General features: G+C 43.5%; 1 protein-coding gene across 21 annotated transcripts in view, besides 9 other annotated features; it reads left to right on the top strand.

Moving 5' to 3' along the window:
- Nucleotides 13,319–13,830: an enhancer, noted in NCBI's record as "H3K27ac hESC enhancer chr14:31677429-31677940 (GRCh37/hg19 assembly coordinates)". NCBI's record gives its function as "activates a minimal SCP1, AML or CMV promoter by ChIP-STARR-seq in naive and primed H9 embryonic stem cells {active_cell/tissue: H9 hESC(naive and primed)}" and the evidence as "EXISTENCE:reporter gene assay evidence [ECO:0000049][PMID:30033119]".
- Nucleotides 13,319–13,853: a biological region, named in NCBI's record as "H3K27ac hESC enhancer GRCh37_chr14:31677429-31677940".
- Nucleotides 13,684–13,853: an enhancer, noted in NCBI's record as "active region_8230". NCBI's record gives its function as "activates an Ori minimal core promoter by ATAC-STARR-seq in GM12878 lymphoblastoid cells {active_cell/tissue: GM12878}" and the evidence as "EXISTENCE:reporter gene assay evidence [ECO:0000049][PMID:35858748]".
- Nucleotides 13,831–14,342: an enhancer, noted in NCBI's record as "H3K27ac hESC enhancer chr14:31676917-31677428 (GRCh37/hg19 assembly coordinates)". NCBI's record gives its function as "activates a minimal SCP1, AML or CMV promoter by ChIP-STARR-seq in primed H9 embryonic stem cells {active_cell/tissue: H9 hESC(primed)}" and the evidence as "EXISTENCE:reporter gene assay evidence [ECO:0000049][PMID:30033119]".
- Nucleotides 13,831–14,373: a biological region, named in NCBI's record as "H3K27ac hESC enhancer GRCh37_chr14:31676917-31677428".
- Nucleotides 14,034–14,373: a silencer, noted in NCBI's record as "silent region_5655". NCBI's record gives its function as "represses an Ori minimal core promoter by ATAC-STARR-seq in GM12878 lymphoblastoid cells {active_cell/tissue: GM12878}" and the evidence as "EXISTENCE:reporter gene assay evidence [ECO:0000049][PMID:35858748]".
- Nucleotides 14,260–23,205, top strand: part of HECTD1 (HECT domain E3 ubiquitin protein ligase 1) — a 107,677-nt gene continuing 98,731 nt past the window's right edge. For 11 of the 21 annotated variants that reach the window (XR_001750215.3, NM_001437350.1, NM_001438022.1 and 8 more), the window contains exons 1-2: nucleotides 14,260–15,037; nucleotides 16,096–16,256. Coding sequence is in view for 20 of the 21 variants with exons in the window: in NM_001437350.1 (NP_001424279.1) it covers nucleotides 16,117–16,256 (140 nt within the window). In the remaining variant the exon portion in view is untranslated. The remainder of the gene's footprint in view (nucleotides 15,038–16,095; nucleotides 16,257–23,205) is intronic. The other 10 variants (XM_017021153.2, XM_047431208.1, XM_011536621.3 and 7 more) reach the window with 1 other exon arrangement.
- Nucleotides 14,674–14,883: a silencer, noted in NCBI's record as "silent region_5654". NCBI's record gives its function as "represses an Ori minimal core promoter by ATAC-STARR-seq in GM12878 lymphoblastoid cells {active_cell/tissue: GM12878}" and the evidence as "EXISTENCE:reporter gene assay evidence [ECO:0000049][PMID:35858748]".
- Nucleotides 14,855–15,368: an enhancer, noted in NCBI's record as "H3K27ac hESC enhancer chr14:31675891-31676404 (GRCh37/hg19 assembly coordinates)". NCBI's record gives its function as "activates a minimal SCP1, AML or CMV promoter by ChIP-STARR-seq in primed H9 embryonic stem cells {active_cell/tissue: H9 hESC(primed)}" and the evidence as "EXISTENCE:reporter gene assay evidence [ECO:0000049][PMID:30033119]".
- Nucleotides 15,004–15,213: a silencer, noted in NCBI's record as "silent region_5653". NCBI's record gives its function as "represses an Ori minimal core promoter by ATAC-STARR-seq in GM12878 lymphoblastoid cells {active_cell/tissue: GM12878}" and the evidence as "EXISTENCE:reporter gene assay evidence [ECO:0000049][PMID:35858748]".

Below are 23,205 nucleotides of genomic sequence, written 5' to 3'. Positions count from 1 at the left end.
TCGAACTCCTGACCTTGTGATCCGCCTGCCTCGGCCTCCCAAAGTGCTGGGATTACAGGCATGAGCCACCGTGCCTGGCCCACACCAACTAATTTTTGTATTTTTAGTAGAGACAGGGTTTCACCATGTTGGCCAGGCTGGTCTTGAACTAGCTGGTCGCAAACTCCTGACCTCGTGATCCACTGCTCCCCCCGACCCCAGCACCACCCCCAACTCAGCCTCCCAAAGTTCTGGGATTACAGGCGTGAGCCACCGTGCCCAGCCAGTCAGTCTTCTTTTTAACATCTTCACAGATTAGATGAATGTCTCATATTTTATTTGTTCACTCTGCCATTGACAGGACATATAGGCTGTTTTCAATATTTAACAAATACAAAAATTCTACAGTAAACATCCTGGTATATTTCTTTTTCTGCAATCACTATAATTTCTATAGGCTTGATTCCTCAAGGTGTATTACTTCTTGTCATCAGGGAAAAAAAATCATTTAACCTAGAGAGACAGCTAGGAGCTTCTGCACCGACTTTTTAAATTCAAAATCTGCCCTGTCATTTACCAGATGTGTAATCTTACACAAATTAATCTCTGCAGGTCTTGGTTTCCCTATCTGTAAAATGGACATAGTAACATTATCTCCTTTTAAGGATTGTTAGGAGGATTAAATGAGTTAGTACAAGTACTTGAGGCTGGGCACAGTGGCTCATGTCTGTAATCCCAGCACTTTGGGAGGCTGAGGCAGGTGGATCATCTGAGGTTAGGAGATCGAGACCAGCCTAACCAATATGGTGAAACCCTGTCTCTACTAAAAATACAAAAATTAGCCAGGCGTGGTAGCAGGTACCTGTCGTCCCAGCTACTCGGGAGGTTGAGACAGGAGAATTGCTTGAACCCGGGAGGCAGAGGCTGCAGTGAGCCAAGATGGTGCCACTGCACTCCAGCCTGGGCAACACAGCGAGACTCCGTCTCCAAAAAAAAAAAAAAAGTACTTGAAGTGGTGACTGGGTACATAATGAGCCCTGTACAAGTATTTTTTAAGTTAATTTTTAAAATAGTCATTCCTTTTGTTTTTTCCTAGAATAATGGTACCTGTTTAATTTTTTATGTAACAAAGTAAATACAGGAACACATTTACTTAAACTATTTTAAGTTTTATAAAGCTTCAGTAAGCTGGATGCAGTAGCTCATGCCTGTAATCCTAGCACTTTAAGAGGCTGAGGTGGGCTGACTGCTTGAGCCCAGGTGTTTGAGACCAGCCTGGGCAACACAGCAAGACCCTGTCTCTTATTTAAAAGTAATTAAAAATTTTTTAATTATAAAAAAATTAAAAAGCGTAAGCATATAACTATAGCTGTCTCCCTTTCCATAGATACTAATTTGGTTAAATGATACGTTTATTAAGAAATATTTCTCTCAGATTGCCTAGAAATACTGTGTCAGTATTGCTTCCTTTATCCTCCTAGTCCTCCCATATTTAAAAAAAATTACAAAATTTCATTACATACAAAAAGTATAAACACTAGTATAATTATGTACTATAATATACCCATTATTAATATTCAATGGATCTACTCAGTATATGGCCAATTGTGTTCATCTGTACTCTACTCACTGTCCACTCAAATGACCTTGAAGTAATCCTAATTACCATATCATTTTACCTATAAATAATTTTGCATGAATTTCTAAGCAATTAGGACATTTTTGTTGTTGTCGTTGAGATGGAGTCTCGCTCTGTTGCCCAGACTGGAGTGCAGTGGCACAATCTTGGCTCACTGCAACTTCCACCTCCCTGGTTCAAACGATTCTCCTGCCTCAGCCTCCTGAGTAGCTGGGATTACAGGCATAGGCCACCACGCCCGGCTAATTTTGTATTTTTAGTAGAGATGGGGTTTCACCATGTTGGTCAGGCTGGTCTCGAACTCCTGACCTCAGGTAATCCACCCACCTCGGTGGCCTCCCACAGTGCTGGGATTACAGGCATGAGCCACCCCTGGCCCCAGTTTTCAAAATCATACAACAATTATATAACTTTTTCCCCTAATGTGCACATTTTGCAATCTATAATAAGAAAATATAATTATCTACAGAATTTAGGTTCTTGAAAGTTTTCTTTAAAAAAAAAAAACTTTAGATTAAAAATAAAAATTTATTTTTCTTAAAGAGATGGGGTCTCTCTACCTTGCCCAGGCTGGTCGCTAACTCCTGGGCTCAAGTGATCCACCCTCCTGCCTCAGCCTACCAAAGTGCTAGGATTACAGGAGTGAGCCATCTTGCCTGGCCCTGGGTTCTTGAAAGTTTTCTATTGAATACATTTTTACAAATTAGATCCCACTTTTCTTTTAACTGGGCTTATAAAGTAATTATTATGTATCCAAGTATGTTTATGCAGAGTAATATTATGTATACAAGTAAAGTTTATGCAGAGTAATACATATTTTATTTATTGGCAAGAATAATTTTCCTTAAGATAAAAGGGACAGGATGTTTACAAAGAGCATATTATAGAAAGATTTTTTTAGCCATGGAACAACTAACTAGAAACATAAAGCACACGAATTTTACAACTATTATTTTTTTTTTCTTCACTACCAAGGGACATGGTAAGATATAGTGAATCATGTAACAAATTGTCCAAATTCCAGAATTTATTTTTAAATAATCATTTTTGAAATCTTTAGAAAATAAGCAGTGATTCTTAGAAGACAGCATTACTAAGAATTAGTCATCTCAAGCTAAACTTACTTCTTATTTAACTTTTTATTTTGAAATAAGTTTGGGGTTATAAAAGTTGCAAAGGTAATTAAAAATTTTCTTTTTTTTTTTTTAGTTTTTGAGATGGAGTCTCCCTCTGTCGCCAAGGCTGGAGTGCAGTGGGGCGATCTTGGCTCACTGCAACCTCCACCTCCCGGGTTCAAGCGATTGTCCTGCCTCAGCCTCCCGAGTAGCTGGGACTACAGGTGAATGCCACCACGCCCAGCTAATTTTTGTATTTTTAGTAGAGACGGGGTTTCATCATATCGGTCAGGCTGGTCTTGAACTCCTGACCTCGTGATCCACTCGCCTTGGCCTCCCAAAGTGCTGGGATTACAGGCATGAGCCACTGTGCCTGGCCTAAAATTTTCTATATGCCCTTAACCCAGCTTCCCCGAATGTTATTGAGATGATATAATTGATGTAACTGAATTTCGAGACGGCATTGGCAAGATTTTCTTTAAAGTTTTATTAGAGACAAGCTGGGTGCAGTGGCTCACACTCATAATCTCAGCACTTTGGGAGGCAGAGGCAGGCAGATCATTTGAGGCCAATATGTTATTATTATTATATTGACCTAGGTCAGTGGTTCTCAGCCTTGGCTACACATTGGTGACCTAGAGCTCTTTAAGAAGTACTGATGCCGCCGGGCGCAGTGGCTCACACCTGTAATCCCAGCACTTTGGGAGGCCGAGGCAGGCGGTTCACGAGGTCAGGAGATTGAGACTATCCTGGCTAACACTGTGAAACCCCGTCTCTACTAAAAATACAAAAAAATTAGTCGGGCATGGTGGTGGGCACCTGTAGTTCCAGCTACTCGGGAGGCTGAGGCAGGAGAATGGCGTCAAGCCAGGAGGCGGAGCTTGCAGTGAGCCAAGATCGTGCCACTGCACTCCAGCCTAGTTGACAGAGCAAGACTCCGTCTCAAAAAAAAAAAAAAAAAAAAAAAAAAAATATATATATATATATATATATATATATATATATACCGATGTCTTATGTCTACAGACTGACAACAACCAGTAAGCCTGAGACAATGGGCGTGATGTCAAGAGATGAGAATGGAAGAATGGAAAGGCAGCATATTGTGAAGGGCACTGAATGTAATGTTGAGGTGTTTTAATTTCTTTCTTTTTTTTTTTTTTTTTGAGACGGAGTCTTGTTCTGTCACCCAGGCTGGAGTGCAGTGGTGCAATCTTGGCTCACTGCAACCTCCACCTCTCAGGTTCAAGTGATTCTCCTGCCTCAGCCTCCCGAGTAGCTGGGATTACAGGCACCTAACACCACGCCCAGATAATTCTTGTATTTTTAGTAGAGACGGGGTTTCACCATGTTGACCAAGCTGGTCTTGAACTCCTGACCTCAGGTGATCCACCTGCCTCGGCCTCCCAAAGTGCTGGGATTACAGGCATTAGCCAACATGCCCGGCTTTTTCTTTTTTTTTTTTTGAGACGAAGTTTTACTCTTGTCGCCCAGGCTGGAGTGCAATGGCATGATCTCGGCTCACTGCAACCTCTGCCTCCCTGAGTCAAGTGATTCTCCTGCCTCAGCCTCCCGAGTAGCTGGGATTACAGGCACCCACCACAACGCCCAGATAATTTTTGTATTTTTAGTAGAGATGGGGTTTTGCCATGTTGGCCTAGCTGGTCTTGAACTCCTGACCTCAGGTGATCCATCCACCTCAGCCTCCCAAAGTGCTGGGATTACAGGCATGAGCTACTGCACCTGGCCTTGATTTCATTCTTGAAGTGGAAGAGCTATCACAGATATGGGAAGAGATAGTGAAGCAGGGAAACAACATTATTCAATTATTCGAAGTTTTTCAAATATAATTAAAATTATATGAAAGATACATTAAATGTAGAAAGTCTGGCCAGGTACGGTGGCTCATGCCTATAATCCCAGCACTTTGGGAGGTCAAGGCGGGCAGATCACCTGAGGTCCGGAGTTTGAGACCATCCTGACCAACATGGAGAAACCCCGTCTCTACTAAAAATGCAAAATTAGCTGGGTGTGCTGGCGCATGCCCCTAAATCCAGCTACTCGGGAGGCTGAGGCAGAATTACCTGAACCTGAGAGGCAAAGGTTGCAGTGAGCCGAGATCACGCCATTGCACTCCAGTCTGGGCAACAAGAGTGAAACTACATCTCAAAAAAAAAGAAAGTCAAATATTTTTCAATGCTAATACTGATTAAAAGAATATTTAAAGAAAAAAATATGGGCCAGGCACAGTGGCTTGCCTGTAATCCCAACACTTTGGGAGGTCAAGCTGGGCAAATCACTTCAGCTCAAGAGTTTAAGACCAGCGTGGGCAACATAGCAAAATCCCCGTCTCTACAAAACATACAAAAATTAACCAGGTGTGCTGGTGAGTACCTGTAGTCCTAGCTACCCAGGAGGCTGAGGTGAAAGGAGTGCTTGAACCCGGGAGGCGGAGGTTGCAGTGAGCGGAGACCGTGCCACTGCACTCCAGCCTGGGTGACAGAGCAAGACTCTGTCTCAAATAAAAAAGAAAAAAGCCGGGTGTGGTGGCTCATGCCTGTAATCTCAGCACTTTGGGAGGCCAAGGTGGGCAGATCACCTGAGGCCAGGAGCTCAAGAGCAGCCTGGGCAACACGGTGAAAACCCATCTCTACTAAAAACACAAAAATTATCTGGGCATGGTGGCAGGTGCCTGTTATCCCAGCTATACAGGAGGCTGAGGCAGGATAATTGCTTGAACCCGGGAGGTAGAGATTACAGTTTGCTGAGATTGCACCACTGCACTCCACCCTGGGCGAGAGTGAGACTACGCTTAAAAAAAAAAAAAAAAAGAAAAAAGGTTGGGCGCAGTGGCTCACGCCTGTAATCCAACACTTTGGGAGGCCGAGGCAAGCAGATCACGAGGTCAGAAGTTTGAGACCAGTCTTGCCAACATTGCGTAAACCCCCTCTCTAATAAAAATACAAAATTAGCCAGGTGTGGTGGCACACACCTGTAGTCCCAGCTACTCAGAAGGCTGTGGCAGGAGAATTACTTGTACCTGGAAGGTGGAGGTTGCAGTGGGCCAAGACTGTGTCATTGCACTCCAGCCTGGTCAGTGGAGCAAGACTCCATCTCAGAAAAAGAAACAAAACAAAACAAAACAAAAAAACTGATGCCTGGATCCTATTTTCAGAGATCCTGATTGAAGTGGCCTGAGGTATATCTTGGACACTCAGAATTTTAAAAGTTCCCCAGGTGGAGAAAATATTTGCGAAAGACATATTGGATAAAGGACTTTTATCATCAAATAACCTTTTTTTTTTGAGATAGGTTGTTGATCCGTTGCCCAGGCTAGAGTGCAGTGGTGTGATCATGGCTCACTGCTGTCTCAGACCCACTGGACTCAAGACATCCTTCTACCTCAGCCTCCCAAGTAGCTGGAACCACAAGTGTGCACCACTGCACTCAGCTAATTAAAAAAATTTTTTTTTTTGTAGAGATGCGGTCTTAGTATATTACCCAGGCTTACAAAGAACTCTTAAAACTTATAAGAAGAAAATGAATGCCATGATTTTAAAAATGGGCAAAAGACCTGAACAGACATCTCACTAAAGAAGACATATGGATGACAAATAAGCATATGAAAAGATGTTTGAGATCATATATCATTAAGGAATTACAAATTAAAACAACAATAAGATAACACTAAACACCTATTAGAACGGCAAAAATCCAAAACACTGACAATACCAAATGCCGGCAAGAATATGGAGCAAGAACTCTCATTCCTTGATGGTGAGAATGTGAAATGGTAGAGCCACTTTGGGAGACAGTTTGACAGTTTCTTATAAAACTAAAAATACTCCAGGAGGCTGAAGCAGGAGAACTGCTTGAACCTGGGAGGCGGAGGTTGCAGTGAGCTGAGATCATGTCACTGCACTCCAGCTGGGGGGACAGCGCAAGATGCCATCTCAAAAAAAAAAAATATTCCTACTTTACAATCCAGCAGTCATACTGCTTGGTATTTACCCAAAAGAGCAGAAGACTAATGTCCACACAAAAACCTGCATATATATGCTTATAGCTGCTTTATTCATAATTGCCAAAACCTGGAAGCAACAAAAGATGTCCTTTGGCAGGTGAATAGATAAACTGTAGTATATCTATACAGTGGGATATTATTTAGCACTAAAAATATATGAGCAGCAGAGAAAGGTGGCATGTGGTTGTAGTTGCAGCTACTTGGGAGGCTCAAGTGAGAAGATCACTGGAGTCCAGGAGTTTGAGGCCTGGCCTGGAATGTGGGTTGGTTTCGGGCCAGCCTGGTCTCAGTATTGAGACCTTGTCTGAAAAAAAAAAAAAAAAAAAAGGCCAGGCGTGACGGCTCACACCTGTAATCCCAGCACTTTAGGAGGCCAAGGCGGGTGGATTTTGAGGTCAAGAGATCGAGACCATCCTGGCCAACATGGTGAAACCTTGTCTCTACTAAAACTATAAAAATTAGCTGGGTGTGGTGGCATTCGCCTGTAGTCCCAGCTACCCTGGAGGCTGAGGCAGAAGAGTCGCTTGAACCTGGGAGGTGGAGGTTGCAGTGTGCTGAGATTGCGCCACTGCACTCCAGCTTGGTGACAGAGCAAGACTCCGTCTTGAAAAAAAAAAAAGAAAAAAAGGAAGAAGATCTATTTTAAAACCTAGAAGCAATAATATTTCAGGTATTCCAGGTCTCAATATGGAGACCCTGTCTCAAAAAAAAAAAAAAAAAAAGAAGAAGACATGAAAGGAAGAAAAGTCTATTTTTTTAAAAAGTTCCCCAGGTGAATCTAATGTGCAATTAAGGTGGAGAACTATTGACCTTCTTTGAACACATAATCTCCTTCAGTTTTTATAATATCCATCAAATTATGTAGCTATTGTTATCCCATTTGATATATAAGGAAACTAAGGTTTTTTTGTTTTTTGGGTTTTTTTTTTTTTTTTTTTTTTTGAGACGGAGTCTCGCTGTGTCGCCCAGGCTGGAGTGCAGTGGCGGGATCTCGGCTCACTGCAAGCTCCGCCTCCCGGGTTCACGCCATTCTCCTGCCTCAGCCTCCCGAGTAGCTGGGACTACAGGCGCCCGCCACTACGCCCGGCTAATTTTTTGTATTTTTAGTAGAGACGGGGTTTCACCGTTTTAGCCGGGATGGTCTCGATCTCCTGACCTCGTGATCCGCCCGCCTCGGCCTCCCAAAGTGCTGGGATTACAGGCGTGAGCCACCGCGCCCGGCCTGGGTTTTTTTTTTTTTTTTTTTTGAGACAGAGTCTCGCTCTGTTGCCCAAACTGGAGTGCAATGGCACAATCTCTGCTCACCGCAACCTCCACCTCCTAGGTTCAAGCGATTCTTATGCCTCAGCCTTCCCAGTAGCTGGGACTACAGTCATACACCACCATGCCCGGCTAATTTTTGTATTTTTCGTAGAGACGGAGTTTTACCATGTTGCCCAGGCTGGTCTTGAACTCCTGACTTCACATGATCCACCCGCCTTGGTCTCCCAAAGTGCTGGGATTACAGGAGTGAGCCACTGCTCTTGGCCAGGTATTACCTTTATTTTACATAAGAGGAAAAACTCAGAGGTTAGATGACTTCCTCGGAGTCTCACAACTAGTAAGGGACAGGTTTCATTCTCAAATCCATGTCTTCAACTCTATGGCTCTTAGAATCTGAAGGAAGATTAAAGATAATCTACTCTACTTTCTCTCATGCTAAAGTACTGTGCACCTGAGTAGTACTGTGCACCATCCCTGACTAGTGTGTGTATGTGTGTGTGTGTGTGAGAGAGAGAGAGAGAGACAGAGAGACAGAGACAGAGACACAGAAAGAGGGGGAGGGGAGATAGGATCTCACTCTGTCATCCAGGCTGGGATGGAGTCGCATGATCTTGGTTTACTGTAATCTCAGTCTTCTAAGATGAAGTGATCCTCCTACCTCAGCCTCTGGACTAGCTGGGACTGTAGGCTAAGTTTTAAAAACTTTTTATAGTGATGAGGTCTCACTATGTTACCCAGGCTGGTCTTGAACTCCTGGACTCAGGCGAGCCTCCCACCTCAGCCTTCCAAAATGCAAGGATTACAGGTGTATGCCACAGCCCCTGAGCCATTCCTGACTTGTTATCCAGTCTCTTCTGTCATATTTCCAGTGTTGGGAAATTATTACTTCATGAAGCAATGCATTTTACTTTGATCTACTAGCTCCAATGATTACAAAATGGTATGACCAAGTATACATATGAGAGTTGGCAGATGGATGTTTGAAACCCAGTTCCCCATTTTATTAGGTAGGTGAATTTGGGAAAGTTATTTAACATCTCCAAACCACAGTTTCCTGGCTGGGTGCAGTGGTTCATGCCTGTAATCCCTGCACTTTGGGAGGCTGAAGAGGGTGGATCACTTGAGGCCAGGAGTTCGAAACCAGTCTGGCCAACATGGAGAAGCCCTGTCTCTACTAAAAATACAAAAATTAGCCAGGCTTGGTGGTGTGCGCCTGTAGTCCCAGCTATTCGTGAGGCACAAGAATCGCTTGAACCCAGGAGGTGGAGGCTGCAGTGAGCTGAGATCGTGCCACTGCACTCCAGCTGGGTGACAGAGTAAGACTCTGTCTCAAATAAATAAATAAATAAAAACACGGAAAATACCTATTTTAAGTGTTAATCATTTTATATATATAATAAACTAATGTATAAAGACTAAATAATAATATATATTAAAGTATCTTTCTAACTGTAGCCAGGCGCTGGGGCTCATCCCTGTAATCTCAGCACTTTGGGAGGCTGAGGTGGATGGATCCCTTGAGTCCAGGAGGTGGAGATCAACTTGGGCAACATGGTGAAACCCTGTGTCTACTAAAAATACAAAAATTAGTCAGGCATGGTGGCGCAGGCCTGTAATCCCAGCTACTCAGGACGCTGAGGTACGAGAATCGCTTGAACCTGGGAGGCAGAGGTTGCAGTGTGCTGAGATTGTGCCACTGCACTCCATCCTGGATGACAGAGCGAGTCTCTGTCTCAAAAACAAAAAAAAAACCCCAAAAAACAAAAAATAAAATAAAATAACATATCTTGCTAACTGTAAAGCATAATAGAAACAGATTTTAACTTTAAAGTGGTTAATAATCCTAAAACCTACATGCCATCTCAGTACTTTCTTGTTTTAAATATCCAAAGGCTCCCCTTGCCCAAAGAACAAAGTTCAAACTCATTACGGTGTTCAAGACCCTTAAGAAATTGTCTCCAATTAACTTCAATGATCTCTTCCAGCCACTAACACCACTCTAGGTACCAACCAAACTTAGTTTCCCACTCTTTCCAATTGCAGACCACATTCTTTCATACCCAGAACTTCACAGAAGTTGAGGATAGCCAGGGACACTTACATTTGTAGTTCAAACTTGAAGACATGTCCAAACATTTTCTGTAGCATATTTTATAGGTTTTCATCTACCAATTATGCCTCTGATACACAAAAAACATAATGGTTTATTGTTGTGCTATTCATAACTATAAGGTTAACTCTAGAAAATTAATTCATAGGCCGGGCGTGGTGGCTCACACCTGTAATCCCAGCACTTTGGGAGGCTGAGGTGGGTGGATTACCTGAGGTCGGGAGTTTGAGACCAGCTGACCAACATGGAGAAACCCCGTCTCTACTAAAAACACAAAAAAATTAGCCAGGCATGGTGGTGCATGCCTGTAATCTCAGCTACTCGGGAGGCTGAGGCAGGAGAATCACTTGAACCCAGGAGGCGGAGGTTGCGGTGAGCCAAGATCGCACCATTGCACTCCAGCCTGGGCAACAAGAGTGAAACTCCGTCACAAAAAAAAAAAAAAAAAAAAAGGAAAGAAAAGAAAATTAATTCATAGTACATACCAGTTGATGAAATGAGTTTAGATTTGTATGATGAATATCTTCCTTTTTATTAATAGTCCTGTGAGTTGATCCCAGCGACTGTGTACACATCGAAGTTCCTTCGCCAATGTGGAGCCTCAGTCAAAAGGCAGCCTGTTGCTTCATTCTGCCAAGAGGGACCCTCTTCGTACCTCTGTGCCTGTCCATATGCTTTTCCTAATTATCTGGCCAGCTGTGACTCATTATCTGAGATTTAATTCACACTTCATTCCTGAAGCTTTCCAAGATGCCATCTCCTACCTCCTTAATGTTCCCAGCATGTACCTGACAATATCACCTAATAAGCGGTATGATAGAGGAGACTCAGAGGAGTGTGTTTACATCTACCTTTATTGAGGAAGAGGTCTGTGACTACTGAGCCTTACACTGAGCCTGGCACAGAGCAGTTCTCGATGGTCTATGATTCTTGGATTTTGGAAGCAATGGGAAATACCAACATGTAAACAGTTCCTGGTTTCTTGGGATAAGTATTCAAGTCTGGTCAGTTGCCTTTATCCGGATATTTTGTTGTCTTCATGACTTCATTTCTCTCCTTTAATGCTCTTGTTCTGGGATCTCATGCTTGAATTCTTTTTTTCTGTTTGAGTTTAAAATAATAACATGGGCCGGGCATGTGGCTCATTCCTATAATCCCAGCACTTCTGGCGGCCAAGGCTGGAGCATTGCTTGAGCCCAGGAGTTGGAGACCAGCCTGGGCAACATAGTTAGATCCTGTCTCTACAAAAAAATAAAAATAGCTGGGTGTAGTGGCATGGGCCTGTAGTCCCAGCTACTCCGGAGGCTGAGGCAGGAGAATCGCCTTGAGCCCACGAGTTGGAAGCTGCAGTCATTTAGGATCACACTGCTGCACTCCAGCCTGAGCCACAGAGCAAGACCCTGCCTCTAAATAAAAATCAAAATAAATATGATAATAACATCTTTAAAAAGTGCAATAAGTGTCACAGCATTCTTTTGATAAGGTTTCTTTAAAGCACACTAGACATTAATCTTGCGGGCAGGAAGTGGGTGGGTGGTACATGTAGAGATAGTGCAGGATAAAAAAATATATATCTTAAAAACTTGGTAAAGGTGGCCAGGCGCAGTGGCTCATGCCTGTAATCCCAGCACTTTGGGAGGCCAAGGCGGACGGATCACAAGGTCAGGAGATCGAGACCATCCTGGCTAACATGGTGAAACCCCATCTCCACTAAAAAATACAAAAAATTAGCCAGGCGTGGTGGTGGGTGCCAGTACCTGTAGTCCCAGCTACTCGGGAGGCTGAGGCAGCAGAATGGCATGAACCCGGGATGCAGAGCTTGCAGTGAGCCGAGATTATGCCACTGCACTCCAGCCTGGGCAACAGAACGAGACTCCGTCTCAAAAAAAAAAAAAAAAAAACAACAAAAAACTTGGTAAAGGTATAATCCCTTTTTCTAACTTTTCTATTTTTTGTTAATAGCATCACCATTTTCCTAGCTTCCAAGTCCTCTTTCTACGTTAAGGGTTTTTGTTTTTTGTTTTGGCAGGGTCTTGCTCTATTGCCCAGGCTGTAGTGCAGTGGCATGATCATGGCTCACTGCAGCTTCGACCTCGAGGGCTCAGGTGATCCTCCTGCCTTTGACTCCTGAGTAGCTGGGACTACAGGTGTGCACCACCACACCCAGCTAATTTTAAAAATTATTTGTAGAGACAGGGTCTCCCTATGTTGCCTAGGCTGGTCTCCTACTCCTGGGCTCAAGTGATCCCCCTGCCTCTGCCTCCCAAAGTGCTGGGATTACGGGTGTGAGCCATGGAGCCTGGACGGAAATTTTTAAGTTAATCATTTAAATTCTGATATATCTTCTTTCAAAAATTATTTTTAGATTTCTTCCCCATTCATATTGCCAATAACTAGACTTTTCTTTCCTCCATTATTGCAGCATTTCGACAACCTCCAGCTAGTCTCGTCTAGATAGATCCTTTTAGTCGTTCTAGACACTTTCCATAATTAGTCTTCTTAAGACTAGTTTTTCCAGTGTTGTAGTCCAGAACTTGCTACTTAGCTCAGCCTAATTTCTGCATTCCTCATTCAAGGCCTTCCCCACTTTAGCTCCAAATTTCTCTCTCTGTTGCTTACTGTTGGTTCTTTGCTGGGGGCACAGGTGACCTTTCCTATGTCTAGGAACATATCAGGCTTTATGTTCTTCCCTTTCCTTTCAGTGTCTACATTGTACCCATTCTTCAAGGTCCAGAGGGAATGCCACTTCCTTCTTGAAGTTTCCTGGCAGCTCCAATTCACACTCATGACATCTAAATAATTATCCTCATGTGTTGTACTTGGGACAAAATAGTTGAATCCTCTTTTTCCTCTTGTTTCGTTAACAGGATACCTAAACGGACCATTACCTGCGACAACGGGACATGCGCGGATAGCTATCTGAAGTACAAATTTGTCATTTCCAAAATACTGGTTCTTTTTCTAAAGAAGTAGTAAAAAAGAAAGAAAAAAAAGAACCAGTATTTTGGAAATGACAAATTTGCTTAGTCGCCCAGGCTGGAGTGAGGTGGCATTATCAAAGCTCACTGCAGCCTCAATTTCTTGGGCTCGAGGGATCATCCCATCTCAACCGCTCCAGTAGCTGGGACCATAGGTGTGCGTCACCGCATCTGGGTAATTATTTTTTAAATTTTAATTTTTTTGCAGAGACCAGGTCTATGTTGCTCAGGCTGGTCTCGAACTCCGGGCCTCAAGAGAGTAAAATCATAAAGTGCTGGGATTACAGGAAACGCAGCGGACCCAAATTCTGTTCTTTACTCATACCTAGCAGCTCCTCTGGTTGCCTGAGGGACCATGTCTCAAACACTATCATGTCGTATTAATTTTTCTTTTTGTTTAAAAGCTGAAAGTGAGAGTACAGTAGGACGTCTCCGGGCTCCAACTACGTCCTATAAGCATGCATCCTTTATTCTGAATGCGTGTGAAATAAAGTTTGAAAAGAATAACCACAGACATACTTGTGACCACAAGCCACAAGAAACGTAGTCAAAAGTGCACTCTCAGTGCTGCTGCCGACCGGGCACGGCGCTGGGCCTGCATTTGCGCTTTCCTGGAGCCTCAGTGTCTCATCTGTACAACGTTGATAATCGTCGGCAGCACCTCTTTCCCAGGGTTGCTCTGAAGGGTTTTCTTTGGGGTGAACCGCCAGGCGGTCGGCCTCCCAGGAGCGGGGGGAGACGCCTTCCTTACGCGACGCACTTCCGTGCGCGAGGAGGGAAGATCGTGGCTGAGTGCGGGTGGCCTGGGCGGAAGGCTCAGCGGGGACAGGTTGGGCCGCAGCTTTGCTGTGCTGTGCCGTGCGACGCCCTCCGCAGGAGCGCGCAAAGTGTTAGCCACGGCGCCAAGCAAGCTGGACGTGCGTGCATGAGCGCGCTCGGACTGACAGGGAAGCGAAAAGGGGGCCAGGGCGCACCATAGAAAAGCCGCGGCAGAAACGTACGACACAGCCCGAGGCGGCGGGGGCGAGAGCTCCGGGGCAGGGACGGCGACGCGGCGTACCCGGTTTGGCGCCCCTGCGCGGCGGTCGGCCGTCCCGCAGCGCCCCAGGTGGCCGCCGGCGGGGTCGCCGCCGGGGGAGTGGATTTGCTCCGCCTCCGCCGGGCTCGGCTGCCCTCGGCAGCTTCCCCGCCTGGCTCTCCCTCGACCCTCCTCCCCTCCCCCTCCCGGTTCGCGATGGACTGGGCCTCCCCGCCGCGCCGCCGCCGCCGTCGCCCGCAGCACCGCGCGGGCCTCTGAGTTGCAGGGCCTGAGGAGCCGCGTGCTGGGGACTGGACGTCCGCTGGCTGCTGCCGCACGCGAGAACCTCTCGCTTCCCTGTCACCAGGTCCTCGCGGAGGAAGGGGAGGGACGAGGCGCGGCTTTTCCTGTGCCGCCTGCCCGGTTCGACCTGCGCGGCCTGCGGCTTCTTGGGAACTCTAGGGCCGCGGCCGGGCCTGGCTCTGCCGGCGGCCTGTTGGGAGCTGGATCGGAGCGGTTTGGAACGACAAGCCCGAGTAAGAGCCTGCGGGAAGGGGAGGCGGGAGCGCCTCGGACCGTCGGAAGGGCCCTGCGTGGGGGCGCGGATCCCGGACGCCCGGCGAGTGGCGGAAAGCGAGACCCCGGCGCCGAGTGAGGTCGGCCAGGCTGCTGCCGACTTCCCCGCTGGCCCCTTTGTTCCCCTCCCGGGGCCCTGCCGGCGGCGGGGCCCGGTTGCCCGCGCCAGAGCCTCAGGCCGGCTCCTTTTGCCCTTGAGAAGGGTTCGCTGCCAGGCCTTCGAGTTCCGGGCGCAGCTCCCGGGAGAGCCGGCGCCCTGCCTGGCCCGGCGGCCTCCTCTCGGGCACGAAGGCTTGCTGCTGCTTCTCCAGAACTTCCCTTCCTCGTAGACACAGGTAGTTAACTTAGCGGGGTTTGGTGCTGGGGAACCACAGCGCGGGGGCCAGCGCCTCTCAGCGCCCGGCTCGGCCGGGCCCCGGGTGTGGGGTCAACCCCGCTGGTCGCCGCCGTTGGGTGCCCACCGCGCCCCGCCGCCGGCTTCCCACACTTGCGGCTGCGTTACGTGGGACCCAAAGCTGTCCTCCAGTCAGGGCGCTTACGGGGCGCTTTTGTAATGACTTACCTGTTGGGGTTGCTTCTCGGTTTTGTTTTTGTTTTTTTAACCAACTGCCCTATCTTGTGAAGCTGGGGAAAGAGGGCCCTAGGTTGGCCTACATTCGTTCGGATCCGTAACCTGCTGGTCCATTGCATTTACTTTTAGCCTTTCCTTTTTTAATTTTTTTATTTTTTTAACTTTTAAGAATAGTTGCCAAGACTGCCAAAATTCCTAACCAACTCTTTATTCATAGATAAATCTTGTATATAATTGTCGTTTGTATTTGGATATCTTTAAAATAGAAGTAAATTGAGAAGTCAGCAGAATATGTGAAATTGGAGGTAATTTTGAAGGAGAAACAATTTGGAGGGGGATTGGATCAAGGTGTTTAGAGTTTCCTCAAAATACTGAATCTAACCCTTATCTGAAGATCAGTTTTGGGTAGAGAAGGAGGGGGATGAAGTTTGCTGGAAAAAACAGAACCTTTAGTTAGGTGTTCTTTGCCTTTTGGCATAGACTTTAGTGATAGCAGTAGTGGGACCTGAAGCTTGACTGACTGTCTTTGACACAGACAGCTCTGGTTTCTAGTTAAGCAGCAACCTAATCAGCTTATATACTCTTGTGCAAAACTGGTTTTCATTTGGTATGATATCTGTACGTTAAACCTGGCGGATAAGGAAAGTTGAAAAACTGCATTAAGCACTCTTACGTCCAAACGTACTTAGGAGTCTTTTTTAATTGCTAGGAGGACACTATGAAAATTTGGTTCTAGCAGATGTAAAGGAAGAAAAATTTAAGCCCAAGCTGTTCAGTCCCGGAATTTAAAGGACTTTTCTCCCTTTACTTTTCAAATTTAAGCAAAGAGACTTTTAAAAAACCATGGCAGATGTGGACCCAGATACATTGCTGGAATGGCTACAGATGGGACAGGGAGATGAAAGGGACATGCAACTAATAGCCCTTGAACAGCTATGCATGCTGCTTTTGATGTCTGACAACGTGGATCGTTGTTTTGAAACGTAAGTACATTCCTTCATCATGTTCCTTTGGGTTACTGTAGTGACATCTGTTTTCAACCATTTGCTGACTTCAGTTTGTGTAGAAATTTCTCTAGTGAATTTTAACACGTATCTTTAAAAATATTCCTGAAGAGTTTTGTGTTTACACTTTTCCAAGAAATAAAAATTGGTAGGTGAAGAAACTCTAGGACTGATGATTACGATGACACAAATACATATTTGTTGAATGAATGGGAATTAGTAGGAATATTAATTTTAACCCATAGCTTGGTTGGTTCATTTTCAAAATATGTCATGAACTGGGGAAAATACAAATATTTATTTTCTTAAAGGTATCTATTTCTGTACCATGAAATTGATTTATGGAATAAGAGATGATAATAAACATATGTTTTGAACTGCCCATTTCTTCATTGATGTTGTCATATGACAGTACTTTTGTTAAAGCCGATTATTGGTTTGTAAATTTCAGTTTGGGAAGGTATAAATTGGATCTTAACCGTGTAGCAGAAGAGTAGAAAATTTGGAGTAGTAGAAACATTTTGAAGTTTGGGGAGTTTAAACAGTTTTATTGGGAGGTTATAACTTAGTATATATGCAAAAATATAAAAGAGAATTCTTACTAGATAGACCTTACAGCCATTTTTTTCCCTCTTATATAAGTCATAACTTGTCCAGTCAGAATAACCATTCTTCTGAGTGTTGAACATGTGTTTCGTTTTTACTGTTTATTTTACATTTGTATTTACAGTTTTGAACTCCAGTAATAAGTAATTGAAAACTCTGATGTTTCTTTATTCATTTTAATGCTATTTTAAGGTAATTAGTAGAAAATGTTTGAGATGTTGACCTAAAAAATTTGGTATAATTATCCTAATGTGTTTTAGGTGGGAATAAAGTTTATATTACTCAGTTGGCAAAATTTTTAAAGTACCTTCATTTTTGATTATTGAATAACTTTCAGTTGTAACTCTTGTTAAAACAGTACTAAGATAAAAATCCTTACTAATAAAATTTCCAAATTACAATTAGTTAGTGGTCCATTTATTTCCATTAGTTTTTGTCATTGGCAGAATTTTGAGTATGTAAGAATAACTTAGCCCTTAGTTGACACTTGTTTTAGCAGGATTTATAGTAAAGTAGATTTTTTAAAATTTATTTTTATTTTTTATTTTTTTCCTCATCCTGACTCTCAAGTTAAAAATTGCGTTCATAGATTTCATTAGAGGTAACCTGAAAGTTACTTTTGGTATTTTAAAAATCATACTTGTCAGTCAAGTCAATTGTCATTTCGTAGCTTCTGTTTAGTACTAATATGTAGTAGAAGTATTTGTTATGACATTTAAAAAAGTGTTGCCCGATCATTAAAAAGTCAGGAAACAACAGGTGCTGGAGAGGATGTGGAGAAATAGGAACACTTTTACACTGTTGGTGGGACTGACTGTAAACTAGTTCAACCATTGTGGAAAACAGTGTGGCGATTCCTCAAGGATCTAGAACTAGAAATACCGTTTGACCCAGCAATCCCATTACTGGGTATATACCCAAAGGATTATAATAATCATGCTGCTATAAAGACACATGCACACGTATGTTTATTGTGTCACTATTCACAATAGCAAAGACTTGGAACCAACCCAAATGTCGATCGATGATAGACTGGATTAAGCAAACGTGGCACATATACACCATGGAATACTATGCAGCCATAAAAAATGATGAGTTCATGTCCTTTGTAGGGACATGGATGGAGCTGGAAACCATCATTCTCAGCAAGCTATCGCAAGGACAAAACACCAAATGCATGTTCTCACTCATAGGTGGGAATTGAACAATGAGAACACTTGGACACAGGAAGGGGAACATCACACACCGGGGGCTGTTGTGGGGTAGGGGGAGGGGGGAGGGATAGCATTAGGAGATATACCTAATGTAAATGACAAGTTAATGGGTGCAGCACACCAATATGGCACATGTATACATATGTAACAAACCTGCACGTTGAGCACATGTACCCTAAAACTTAAAGTATAATAAAAAAAAAAAGTGTTGCCATGTTAAAACAATTTAAATGAAATTTTTAAAACATAAAATTTATCTCTATGTAAAATCCTTCCATCCTAACATAACAGCTGTTATTTTTTCCATTTTCCTTTCTAGGCTTTATTCATATATAGTATGATGTAATTTTTAAGAGACTGGGGCCTCACTATGTTGCCCAGTCTGGCCTCGAGCTCCTGGGTTCAAGCGATTCTCCTGCCTCGGCCTCTTCAGTAGCTGGGACTATAGGCTGTGCCACCACACCTGGCTTTATAATGTAATTTTAAGGAAATGAACCTAAAGTTAAGTCAGATATGATTTACTATATGAAGATACAAGAGTATTTCAAGTTGAAGGGGTTAGCCGTGTTTGGGGTAGTGTACCAGTAACCTCCAAAAACTAGACATTTGGTTTAATTTTGTGACTGTTTTGTTTTTAAACATTAGTTTGCTTTTCATTCTATAGCCAGATTTTCTTGTTGTTACAAGGGAAAATTGTCCTGGTTCCTTCTTGAAACTAGTGAGGGAGGCATAGTGAGATGGAAAGAATGGGCTGTGGCATCAGAGACTTGGGTTCAGATTCTTGGTCTGTTGTGTTCATTAGCCTCTGAGAGCCTTACTTTCTTCCCCTGTAAAATGGCAGTAGTCTTTTTTTCTTTTCTGTTTTTTCATATGAAGTCTTGCTCTGTTGCCCAGGCTGGAGTGCAGTGGTGCGATCTTGGTTCACTGCAACCTCCGCCTCCCAGGTTCAAGTGATTCTCCTGCTTCAGCCTCCCGAGTAGCTGGGACAACAGGTGCGTGCCACCATACCTGGCTAATTTTTGTATTTTTAGTAGAGATGGGGTTTCACCATGTTGACCAGGATGGTCTCCATCTCTTGATCTCCTGATCCACCTGCCTTAGCCTCCCAAAGTGCTGGGGTTACAGGTGTGAGCCACCATGCCCAGCCAGTAGTCTTTTTTCCAGTGGGCCTTCTTGTGAGGATTAAAGGAGAGAATGTATGTTAAGTGTTTTGAGTAAAGTGGGCTACCCACTGATGCCATCATTAATAAATATCTAATTTTGAATTTTATTTTAGCACTTTATTCCATGAATAAAGTGATTGATTTGGAAAGGTCTTTTAAAATTCTTTTAAACAATCAACTCCCAGCAGGCAAAAAAAGCAAGATGATGTGCATATTTTGAATATTGGTAAAAATCTTTCATACTACCTTGATTTCATAAAGTAGTAGCAAATAGGACTTAGTTCTGTCTAATAAACCAAAACATGCCTGTATGTCCTGATAATATGTTTGCTTAATTAGCTTGTCTTAATAGTTTCACATCTGTTTAGTCAGGAAAGGCAGGTGGTGTGGTAGAAACAGTGGCCTCTGCAATGGGATAGACTTGGGTTCAGATACCTGCCTTTTCCACTGAATAGTTGTGTGATAGCCTTTGAAGTCTGTTTCCTCATCCTTGCAGGATTTTTCTGAAAATAAATGGGATAATAGTCAAGGATTTCTTTTTCCTTTAACTTAGTATTGTACATGGCTCTCCACTTTTTTTTTTTTTTTTTTTTGAGGCAGAGTCTCGCTCTGTCACCCAGGCTGGAGCGCAGTGCTATTTTAGCCATGCCCAGCTAATTTTTGTATTTTTAGTAGAAACGAGGTTTCACTGTGTTAGCCAGGATGGTCTCAATCTCCTGACCTTGTGATCCACCCATCTCAGCCTCCCAAAGTGCCGGAATTACAGGCGTGAGCCACCGCGCCCGGCCGGCTCTCCACTGTTTGTACCCATTTTGACAGTGTCTTTCTGAAGTTCAACGAATATAACTTCTTCTATGATGTGTCAGTGCTTCTTATTAATGCCTGAACTTATCAAGGTAATGCTCCAGAAAGTAAAACACGTTCAAGATTCGTTTTTGCTTTTACCTGATGTATCGAGTTCTAAAATGTAGTAATGTAAACATGGCCGGGTGCGGTGGCTCATGCCTGTAATCCCAGCACTTTGGGAGGCTGAAGTGGGCAGATCACTTGAGGTCAGGAGTTCAAGACCAGCCTGGCAAACATGGTGAAACCCCATCTCAACTAAAAATACAAAATTTAGCTGAGCACTGTGGCATGTGCCTGTAATCCCAGCTACTTGGGAGGCTGAGGCAGGAGAATCTCTTGAACCTGGGAGCCGGAGGTTGCAGTGAACCAAGATTGTGCCATTGCACTCCAGCCTCGGTGACAGAGTGAGACCGTGCCTCCAAAAAAAAAAAAAAAAGTAAGTAATAGTAATATGAGTTATTAGCTAATGAGCATTTTGTATTCACATCAAAATAGGTGATCATCATATGTATTAATGTTATAAATATGTATTATGGGCATTTCTAGATCTTGCTACTAAATCTGAATATAATTTGAAAGTTATGTCCTCTGGAAATTGAGCATCTCAGAAGATGCTTTTAGGTGCTAGTAGGCTTTATTTAAAAAATAATGATGTCACTTAATTTTGAGGGCACAAAAGGATATACAGTAAAAAGTCCGTTGTCTTCCCTTTCCTGTCTCCTGGTTACTTGGTTCCTCTTCCCAGAGGAAACCACTGTTAATCATTTCCTAGTGTATCCTTCAAGAGATATCCAAGGAACATTGTTTTGAGTCTGGATTCCAAAGTTATTGAACACAGTGGTAAAAAAATCTTTTTTGATATGTTTACACTAAAAGGTAAAAAAATACCTGTACAGGAACAAGTTTTTTAACTTTAAATTGTCTACTTTATGTTAGGTCTTGGAAAGATATGGTGATGACCAAAACAAATACAGCACCTTATGTGCCTAATAGTCTAATAGGGAAAACAGATAATTGTGGGGAAAAAATGTGGTTACAAACTGTGTTAAATGTCATGAAGGAAAAGCTCAGGGTACTGTGACAGCATGAAGCAGGGACAAGACCTGGAGAGGTGGGGATGGGCAGAGTGGTCTTTGGGGAAGTGGTTTTTCTTTTTTTTTTTTTCAAGACAAGAGTCTTGCTCTGTCACCCATGCTGGAGTGTAATAGCGTGATCTGAGCTCACTGCAACCTCCACCTCCCAGGTTCAAGTGATTCTCCTGCCTCAGCCGCCCCAGTAACTGGAATTACATGCACACGCCACCATGCCTGGCTACTTTTTGTATTTTTAAGTAGAGATCGGGTTTCACTATGTTGGCCAGGCTGGTCTCGAATTCCTGACCTCAAGTGATCCGCCCGCCTTGGCCTCCCAAAGTGCTGGGATTACAGGTGTGACCTTTTTTTTTTTTTTTTTTTTTTAAATTAGATGGAGACAAGGTCTCACTAGGTTCCCCAGGCTGATCTAGAACTCCTGAGCTTAAGTGATCCTCCCGCCTTGGCCTTCCAGAGTGCTGGGATTACAGGCGTGAGCCACCGTGCCTGGCCAAGAAAGGGGAAGTGGTTTTTCCTAGAGCTAGGAAGGATGAGTAAGGAGAGATAGGAAGTGGGAACAAAACAAACAAATGCTTGTAGACTTGATAGGAGGCTATGATCCAGAGAGATAGAGGGTTTTGTGATAAAAGTAGAAAGTTGAATATATTTGAGAGAGATTTGGAAGGCAAGATAGTCAGGATTTGTCGAATGATTAAATATGAGAGAGGGAGAAGGAAGTGTCGTGGATGACTCAGGTTACAATGGATGATGATGCCACTCACTGAGAGAGAACACTGGAAAGAGGACCATGTTTGAGAGATTGAGATCATGAGTTTGGGTTTGGATATGTTGAGTATGAGGTACTTTTGAGACATCTCAGTGGAGATATTAAGTAAGCAGTTGTATAAATGGAAATTGGAGGTGAAGCCTGGATTAGAGAAAAATTTTAGAGTCAAGCACCTGTGGAGGTTAATTGTGGCCATGGGATGTGATTGAGATCTAGGGCAGTGATGCTTAAACTCTATGGTCTCAGGACTTCCTTAAGCTCTTAAAAATTATTGTGGATCCTGAAGAACTTTTGTTTATGTTAGTATGCTTACTGCTATTTGCCATATTCAGAATGAAACTGGGAAGTTGTTTTTTTTTTTTTTTTTTTTTTTTTGAGATGGAGTCTTGCTCTGTCACCCAGGCTGGAGTGCAGTGGCACAATCTTGGCTCACTGCAACCTCTGCCTCCTGGGTTCAAGTGATTCTCCAGCATCAGCCTCCCTAGTAGCTGGGATTACAGGTGTGCGCCACCGTGTCCAGCTAATTTTTGTAGTTTTAGTAGAGACGGAGTTTCACCATGTTGGCCAGGCTGATCTTGAACTCCTGACCTCAGGTCAGAACCCAGGAGGCGGAGCTTGCAGTGAGCCGAGATCGCCCCACTGCACTCCAGCCTGGGCGACAGAGCAAGACTCTGTCTCAAAAAAAAAAAAAAAAATTATAATAATAAACCCCTTACATGTTAAAATTTTTTTGTGAAAAATAACTTTTTTAAAAGAAAACATTTTGGGAGAATAGAGGCATTAATTTACATTTTTGCAAATCTCCTTAAAGTCTGCCTTAATGGAAGATAGCTGGATTCTCATATCTGCTTCTGCATTCAGTTTGTTGCATTATGTTATTTTGATTGAAATATATGAAAAAATCATCCACAGATGTATTTGGGAAAGGGAAGAAGAATATTATATTTTTTAACGTAATCATGGATATGCTTCTTTGATAACATGTCAAAATTCAACAAGTGATAGTTTCTTAAGGATTAGTTATAATGTGGATTCTGTTTTTTTTTTTTTTTTTTTCTTCGAGGCAGATTCTCGCACCCAGGTTGGAGTGTAGTGGTGCGATCTTGGCTCACTGCAACCTCCACCTCCTAGATTCAAGCAGTTCTCCCGCCTTAGCCTCCTGAGTAGCTGGGACTACAGGCGCAGACAACCACACTGGAATAATTTTTTTTATTTTTAGTATTTTATGTTGGTCAGGCTGGC

This window comes from Homo sapiens, chromosome 14 (assembly GCF_000001405.40).
Source record: "Homo sapiens chromosome 14, GRCh38.p14 Primary Assembly".
In the NCBI taxonomy this organism is placed as follows: Eukaryota; Metazoa; Chordata; class Mammalia; order Primates; family Hominidae; genus Homo; species Homo sapiens.
This window is presented reverse-complemented; position numbering and strand designations above follow the sequence as displayed.